Consider the following 7549-nt stretch of genomic DNA (forward strand, 5'->3'; position numbering starts at 1 on the left):
CCTCATCTCTTCTAGCTCTGCTGGTGGCAGGTGCAGACCACGTGTCCTGTGGGGGGGCCTGGGGGAGAGGGGGTGGGCCTGGAGGGGTGGGGCCTAGCTGCTGCTGCTATTTATCTGAACCCAAGTGAATCCCTGTGCTGGAGAGGCGCTCTGAGGCTCCTGGGGAGTCGGTGGGAACGACACCAGAAGCTCAGGTGGAGATCTTATCTTCCTGAGGCTGCTGGATTTGGTGGGCGATAGGAATCAGGCCCCCTTTTTTTGGCTGTGGGAGAAAGAGGGGTGACTGCGGGTAGGTGGGCAAGGAATGTTATATTTTCCTAGCAGGCCTTGAGGGCCAAAGGGGAACCTTGTCTCTGGCACTTGCATGTGCCTGTTTGTATGTTTGCCCCTCAGGCAGATGCTATAGCTTGGTCCCCAAGTGTCTGCGCGTGCATTGTGTGCGTGTGCGTTTGTGTGTGTGTGTGTGTGCATGCATGGGTGTGACTTTGCTGCAGGGGAGGAGGGATGAGCTCCCAGCCAGAACCTGTCTCTTCAGCTTGTGGCTTCTCTTTTTCAGATGAAGACTGGCCCATTTGCAGAGCACTCCAACCAGCTGTGGAACATCAGCGCCGTCCCTTCCTGGTCCAAAGTGAACCAGGGTCTCATCCGCATGTATAAGGCCGAGGTGAGTGGGGGCTGGCCAGTGTGCCCGTCCCTGCTGCCGCACTTGGTCCTGGGCTGGGGACAAAGCAAAAGATGTGGAACCTGGGGCTCCTGCTTCCTCCTACCCCACTGTTTTGCTCTGAATCTTAGGCCAGCCCCTCTGACACTTGGGGCCTCGGAATCTCCCATCTGGGGCATGGGCAGTCAGAGAAGCACCAGCCACCCCAGCCCCGAAAAGCTGCAGTCCAGCTCTGTCCTGATGAGCTTGGAGGCTGAGGCAAGGACCTGCTGCATGGGGAGTGGGGGCGATGGGGGCCTCCCTTCTCCTTTATCAAGTGGCCAAAGGCTCCTCAAAGCTCGGGCAGTCTGAGTCTGGCTCTCCCATGGCATACCTGGGAAGGGTCTTACCCTTTGGAGGCATCTCCAAAGTGCTGCCTTCAAATGTTAGTGTGTATGATCACTGAGTGGTGGGAGGTCTGAGGGTAGGCCGAGAATTGGCATTTTTATGGACCGCTTCAGGGATTTTGATGCAAATGGTTTTCCCTGCTCTCAAATCAGATGCTGAGGAGAGGAGAGCTGAGGCTTCCTGGAGCTCCCCCTGCTGGCAGGCAGCCGAGGGTGTCTCCTGCCCTCTTGGCACTGTTCTCCCAGCCAAGGAGGTGGCCTTTTCTCTCTTCCAAGTGGGGAGGAGACATTTTATTTCTACTCTGTCCCTTCTGCTAGCTCCTCCCACTTCCTGGGAAGACTAATTCTAGAACTGCTTGACCTTGGCCAGGGAAGGGCTGGATGTGAAGTTCCACACCTGGAGTGATGGGTCCTTAAAGTCCCTTCTTTCTGTTCTCAGGCTGGCCCTTGTGACTAGTTCATGGCCTCAGACACTGTACTGTGGGCACCATCTCTTGACTCCTGGCCGGCCTTCTCTTCTGGGAAGGGGCTGCTCCAGGTCTTCATTGGACCCAGAGCTTCCTGGATCCCATCAGCAGAGGCGGGACAACGGGGAAGGGTGCCAGAGGCCAGCGGGGTGGGGGAGCACAGATGCTTCCAGTTGGCTTGGCTCCCTGCACTTGGTCCTGAAGGGGTTAATGAGGCTTGAACTGAACAGACCGGGCCCTCACTCCCTTCCGCCCCCTCCCCCTTTGGTCCCCTTCCTCTGGACCTCACATCCTGTGTTTAGGTTCCAGCCCACATACCTCTCTAATCTGAGAGGCCTGAGAGCCCGTTGGCTGGAGCTGCCTAGGTTCCTTCCGGCTGCAGCTGGCCACCCCCGGCTCTCCACTCCGACTCTGCCCTGGGTCACTGCCCTCTGGTGTCCTGATGTTCCTGACCCCACCCCCGCCTGTCCCACAGTGGGGGCTGCTGGGGAACTCTCACTCTGCTGTGCCCCGCCTCCAGGGTGTCTGAGCATGTGAGAGGTGCACATCGCCCACCAGCCACCTCCCAACCCCAACCCTTGTGTGCCAAAGAGAGGACTCTGGCTGCCTTCTCTGCTTGGTACCTGAAGTACTGTCTTCTCTACAAGCCTCTTAATTCAAGTGACTCTAAACTTCTCTCGACTCAGGCTCTAAGGCCCAAAGGATAGGGCAAGAGACCCTGTCCCCTTCTCTCACCTGCCCTTCCAGAGACAAAAGAACTCCAGGCTGCCAGAGGATGAGGGAGGAGCATATTCGGATTGAAAATGGTGATGGTGTGGCAGGAACACAGGGACTGTCCACTCTGCACAGGCTGTCGGGGTCTCCGTGGGGGCTGAGCACAGGGTGGCAAACACAAAGAGGACACTGAAAATGACCAACTCAGGATGGGGGAGCTCTCTAGTAATCTGAAAAAGGGAGATTCTAGCCCTAGTTGAGGCCGGCGCTGTGTGGGGAAGGGGACAGGCTCCTGTATAGGGTGACGCTGGAACTCCCTGACTTTAAGATCACCAAGTCAGGCCGGGCGTGGTGGCTCACGCCTGTAATCCCAGCACTTTGGGAGGCCGAGGTGGGCGGATCACGAGGTCAGGAGATCGAGACCATCCTGGCTAACACAGTGAAACCCCGTCTCTACTAAAAATATAAAAAAATTAGCCGGGCGTGGTGGCGGGTGCCTGTAGTCCCAGCTACTCGGGAGGCAGAGGCAGGAGAATGGCGTGAGTCCGGGCGGTGGAGCTTGCAGTGAGCTGAGATGGTGCCACTGCACTCCAGCCTGGGCGACAGAGCGAGACTCTCTCAAAAAAAAAAAAAAAAAAAGATCACCAAGTCTTTGCCTGTAATCCCAGCAATTTGGGAGGCTGAGGTGGGTGGATCACTTGAGGCCAGGAGTTCGAGACCAACCTGGGCAACATGAGGAAACCCCGTCTCTACTAAAAATATAAAAATTAGCTGGGTGTGGTGGCTCATGCCTGTGGTCCCAGCTACTTGGGAGGCTGAGACGGGAGAATCGCTTGAACCTGGTAGGCGGAGGTTGCAGTGAATTGAGATCACACCACTGCACTCCAGCCTGGGCAACAGTGTGAGACTCCGTCTCAAAGAAAAAAATCACTGGTTGGGTGCGGTGGCTCATGCCTATAATCCCAGCACTTTGGGAGGCCAAGGCAGGTAGATCACCTGAGGTCAGGAGTTCATGACCAGCCTGGCCAACACGGTGAAACACTGTGTCTACTAAAAATACAAAAATTAGCCTGGCATCGTGGTGCGCACCTGTAATTCCAGCTACTCAGGAGGCTGAGGCAGGACAGTCACTTGAATTTGGGAGGTGGAGGTTGCAGTGAGCCGAGATCATGCCACTGCACTCCAGCCTGGGCAACAGCGAGACTCCATCTCAGGAAAAAAAAAAAAAAAGATCACCAAGTCTTTGCAGTGTTCAACACTCATTGACAACTTACTAGCAACTAGCCCTTAGTCCTTGGTCCCGAAGGGCCCATGGGCTGGCATGTTGCCTACACAGAGGTCCAAGGAGAGGGCTTGTTTTCTCAGGCCAGTTCTTAGCCCCTAAGGAGGCCCTCCAAGGCCTGCCAGTCTTGCAGTCCAGGGGTGGGTAGGAAGGCTGGGTCTCCAGTCAGAACTGGTTGATTGAGGGGAGTCAGCCTCCTGGGCTGCCACAGAAGTCTGACCAGCCTGGCAGTAGGTGGCCTCAGGATTTGGGTCTAACTCTGCTCTGTCCCAGCCTTTCTGACCGAAGAACCAAGTGCTCTCAGGGGCCTTGTGTGGTTGCGGGGCGGCGGGGGGGAGGGTCTGTCTTTCCTCTGGGCCATGGCTGTGTGGGTGCTGCCTTCAGAAGGACCTTGTCAGGACCCAGGGAGTCCCTTCCCCAGCTTGAATCACCTCTGGCTGGAAGGTCAGGGGGCAGTCTGAAGCCGCTGCTCCGCCCAGGTACATGGGAGGGCCTTGCTGGGAGAAAGGCTGGGCTGGAGGCTCCTCCTGCCCTGGAGCCTTAGGCTTCCTTGGCCCAGCTCCTGTGGCTCTGAGGGGGCTGGCTCTGGGGTCCTGTGGGCAGAATGGGAAGAACCCCTGCCTCCACCCCTTCTCGCCTTGCAACTTCTTCTATGGGAGCTAGAGGGAGGTTGACCTTTGACCCCTTCTGGAATTCCAGGGCCCTTGGGGGGTGGGGGGGCTCTTATGACCACTTCTGGGATGACATAAGCACCATGGCAGCTGCCTTGGCCTCTGGCCTGGATCTGCGGCTGCTCCCCCTCCCGCCCAGGGACCACCTCCCGCTCCCTGCTCCCGCATTCTGTGTCTCAGGCCCAGGATCCTGGCTGTGGCCAGGGCTCTGCTCCCCACCCCACCATGAGCTTGGTTTCCATCCTTCTTTCCCTCCCCTCCTGGCGCCTCTTTGGCCCACTCGTCACCCTGGTGCTTCTCCCTCTTAGGTTCCACAGCTGATTTTTGAGGAGAGGGAACCTGGGCCAGTCATAGCACCCGTTTGTCTCTAAGTTAGTTGGAGGTTAAGATCACAGCCACAGAGTGAGGCTCTTACTCTCTCTGAGGCCATAAGTCTTGTTCCACCCCAGCCAGGAGGTGCCTAACATACTCTGTTTTCTGTGGCCAAAGGTGTGGGAGGAGGCCCTGGTCAGTCTTGGCAGATCCAACCCTCGCATGCCCAGAACGGCTCCTGTGAGAGCTAGTGTCCAGGTGTGGCAGGCATGGGGGTGCTGTTGCGGGAGCTGCAGCTGGAAGCTGGGGTTGGCTGCCTGTGGGCCAGGCCAGCTTCTGTGATAGGCCCTGTCACTTGCTCTCCAGCTCTGCTCCTCTGCTAGGAGCCCGGGCTGGGCTGGGCTCAGGGAGTCGGGCCTCCCCCGTGCTCAGCCATTCCCCTGTTCAGCGCTCTTTTTCCCCTGCCCCCCACACAGGCTGCTGGGAATTGCCCAGGGGTGGGGGGAACTCAGTGTCAGCTGGTTCTTATTGTCTCGCTCTGAAGTGCCAAGATGCCTTTTTCAGTCCAGAGAACTGAAAGCTGGAGAAAACAGGCTTTGGGACCCGGCCTCAGCCTCTTAGGCTTACGTTCAAATGTCCCCACGTCTCTTCTCTAGAACTGGGACCTGGGCTGGGGGTCCCCAGTGATCAGGAGGGTTCTTTCCACCTCAGGTTCCCAACTTCCCTCTCTGGGCCAAGTGATGGCACCTGGCTGCCTCTCTTCTCGGTTTCTACCTTGTAGGTTTGGGCTGCCTTTTCTCTTTCTCTCTCTCGTGGGTCTCGTTGTGGAGTGGGTGTCTTTGGATAGAAGGAGTGAGGAACTGGGGGAGGAAGGCCTGGGGGATCCCCTGGCGGGGCTACTTCCTGGGCCCGGGATGGACACCTGGGAGCTGCTGCGGTTGTTGGGGTCCTGGCAGGGGTGTGGTGTGGCCCTCACCACTCTGCTCACCTGCTCCTTCCTCACAGTGCCTGGAGAAGTTCCCTGTGATCCAGCACTTCAAGTTCGGGAGCCTGCTGCCCATCCATCCTGTCACGTCGGGCTAGGAGGGGCCAAGCCGAAGAGCCACCCAGGCCACAGTTCCTGTGCCTGCCTTCCCCACCCCAGCAGTGGCCCCTCCCCATCCCCTCCCTCTGTTCGTCCCGTTTGATGAGAGGCTGTTTACTGGGGTGGGGTGGCGAGATGGGCTTGAGGGGGCTCAGAGCATAAGGCTTCAGGGCCCAAGTTGGGAGAAGTGACCAAAGTGTAGCCAGTTTTCTGAGTTCCCGTGTGCTAGACTGGCCAGAAGAGAGGGTCTGGGGCCTGGTCACTCGGCCACTCTCTCCTGTTTCTGGCCTCTTCTCCCTTCACTCCCGTCCAGTCTGGTTTTGAGAGCAGGGGCTGTTCTGCAGCACCGCAGGGAAGGGAGGAGAGATACCTGCTGCTTCCATTGCTTTTCCCTTCCTGGAGTCGATGCCTTTCTAAGGGTTGGAGCTGCTCCTTGCAGGGGCGGGTCAGTTTCCCAGGCCATGCCGGGGTGGCCATCTATGGTAGGGCTGGAAGCTGAGGCTGGCCGCCAGCTGTGGGCTGGGGTGGGGTGGGTGGGGTCGGGTGGTGGAGAGGCCTTAGCTGTCCTGGCTGGTGCCCCTCCCAGGCTCCTTTTCACCCTGCCCCCTGGGCCTGAGGCCCCCTGTGTCCAAGCCTCCCCCTGGCTCTTCAGTTCTCTAGCCCTTGGCTCTGCTGGGTTTCCTGACTGTAGCCACATCTCTCCCGCTCCCTAAGGGTAACCTAGCCAATGGAAGCTGCCCTTTGGGTAGGTGCTGGGCTCCTGGGAGGGCCCAGATGATGGGGTGAGGCATGTCTTTCCAGAACTTTCCCTGGCAGGGAGGGGATGGCAGAAACTCAGGGAGGGGCTTGGGGCCCATTGTATCTGGAGAGCCTGGATTCCTCTTGGCAGTCTTAGGCCCGGCCACTTCTGCTACCTTTGCGCTGCTGTGAGCCTCACCCTGGGCCCCTGGGCCCTGCTTCTCTGCTCCCCTGGGTGATGGGTGGGCCCAGAAGGTGGCAGTCCCACACCTTGTCCTCCCACCTCCCTGAACTGTCCATTGCTTTTATAGGGTGAGGTAAGAGACAGCCTCCCAAGCCCAGGCTTTGGCACTCAGAATGGGCCCAGTGGGGGCTGGGCAGGCCCATTGAGGGCCACCGCCGAGGTTTCTCCTAGGGCTGTTCCTGGGCCTGGCTCTTACAGGCTCGTCCCCCAGGCCTGCCCTTCTCCACTGCCCCCTCCTGTGTCTGGGTCCACACACCCTTCAGGAAGGGGGAGCACTGAGAAGCACAGCACAGGGGCTCAGCCTGGGATCCGGTGATGGTCTGGGCAGAGGCTGGGTCAGGAGTCCCAAAGGTCAGTGACAGTTTCTCAGAAGAGGCCCAGCGTCCACCTCTCTCCCAGGGCCAGACAGCCCTTCCTGGCTCCCCCATCCCCCTATGGGCTCCCAGCCCCTTGCACCCTCATTGCTGTTCAGATTAAAGCCTCTGTTTTGCACCTGTCACTTGTGTGAGGTATGTCTTTTCATGTCACATGTTTAACCCATTTCTGCATGACTGACCTCCATCAGGTCCCCTTCTCTCAGGCCACAGTGTCTGAGACGAGCTGTTTCAATTTGGGTTGAGCCTTTCCTGGGTTTAAATCCTAGCTGTCTGCAGTCCCAGCTGCAAGGTTGTAAGTTACTGAAGCCCCTGAGCCCCAGCTTCCTCAATTCACAAAATGGGGACAGTCACAGGGTGACTGCCAGCAGTGGACAGCAGATGTGAAGTCCTCAGCTCAGGGCCTGGCACATAGCATATCCCGGGTGGTCACTGCAGCTGTGCTTGGTGAAGGGGGCCCCTCTGGACTCCCAACTTAGCCCCAAGCTGGCCAGGGAGCCTTTGGATGGGCTTTGACAGTGGAACATGCACCTGTGGTTTGTGAGGGGGTGGCCCTCTATTCTCCCTCCTCTGCCCCTCCTGTCCCTGCTGGGCTGGAGTTGAGGGTCTCTGGGGC

At 58.4% G+C, this 7549-nt stretch overlaps 1 protein-coding gene across 11 annotated transcripts in view, besides 5 other annotated features; it reads left to right on the forward strand.

The window, feature by feature from the left end:
• Positions 1–7058, forward strand: part of PTPA (protein phosphatase 2 phosphatase activator) — a 37997-nt gene extending 30939 nt beyond the window's left edge. For 8 of the 11 annotated variants that reach the window (XM_047423560.1, NM_021131.5, XM_011518838.3 and 5 more), the window contains 2 exons: positions 557–664; positions 5499–7058. In XM_047423560.1, the coding sequence (XP_047279516.1) occupies positions 557–664; positions 5499–5576 (186 nt within the window). In that variant the 3' untranslated portion in view covers positions 5577–7058. Of the gene's footprint in view, positions 1–556 lie in introns of all 11 variants that reach the window. The other 3 variants (XM_047423559.1, XM_011518834.3, XM_011518836.3) reach the window with 1 other exon arrangement.
• Positions 1632–2259: an enhancer, noted in NCBI's record as "H3K27ac-H3K4me1 hESC enhancer chr9:131905799-131906426 (GRCh37/hg19 assembly coordinates)". NCBI's record gives its function as "activates a minimal SCP1, AML or CMV promoter by ChIP-STARR-seq in naive and primed H9 embryonic stem cells {active_cell/tissue: H9 hESC(naive and primed)}" and the evidence as "EXISTENCE:reporter gene assay evidence [ECO:0000049][PMID:30033119]".
• Positions 1662–1956: an enhancer, noted in NCBI's record as "tiled region #8657; HepG2 Activating non-DNase unmatched - State 14:Gen5', and K562 Activating non-DNase unmatched - State 25:Art". NCBI's record gives its function as "activates a minimal TATA promoter and a strong SV40 promoter by Sharpr-MPRA in HepG2 and K562 cells {active_cell/tissue: HepG2 | K562}" and the evidence as "EXISTENCE:reporter gene assay evidence [ECO:0000049][PMID:27701403]".
• Positions 3518–4147: an enhancer, noted in NCBI's record as "H3K27ac-H3K4me1 hESC enhancer chr9:131907685-131908314 (GRCh37/hg19 assembly coordinates)". NCBI's record gives its function as "activates a minimal SCP1, AML or CMV promoter by ChIP-STARR-seq in naive H9 embryonic stem cells {active_cell/tissue: H9 hESC(naive)}" and the evidence as "EXISTENCE:reporter gene assay evidence [ECO:0000049][PMID:30033119]".
• Positions 6536–6635: an enhancer, noted in NCBI's record as "active region_29108". NCBI's record gives its function as "activates an Ori minimal core promoter by ATAC-STARR-seq in GM12878 lymphoblastoid cells {active_cell/tissue: GM12878}" and the evidence as "EXISTENCE:reporter gene assay evidence [ECO:0000049][PMID:35858748]".
• Positions 6670–7170: an enhancer, noted in NCBI's record as "H3K4me1 hESC enhancer chr9:131910837-131911337 (GRCh37/hg19 assembly coordinates)". NCBI's record gives its function as "activates a minimal SCP1, AML or CMV promoter by ChIP-STARR-seq in naive H9 embryonic stem cells {active_cell/tissue: H9 hESC(naive)}" and the evidence as "EXISTENCE:reporter gene assay evidence [ECO:0000049][PMID:30033119]".

The sequence above is a fragment of the Homo sapiens genome, chromosome 9, assembly GCF_000001405.40.
Source record: "Homo sapiens chromosome 9, GRCh38.p14 Primary Assembly".
Classification (NCBI taxonomy): domain Eukaryota; kingdom Metazoa; phylum Chordata; class Mammalia; order Primates; family Hominidae; genus Homo; species Homo sapiens.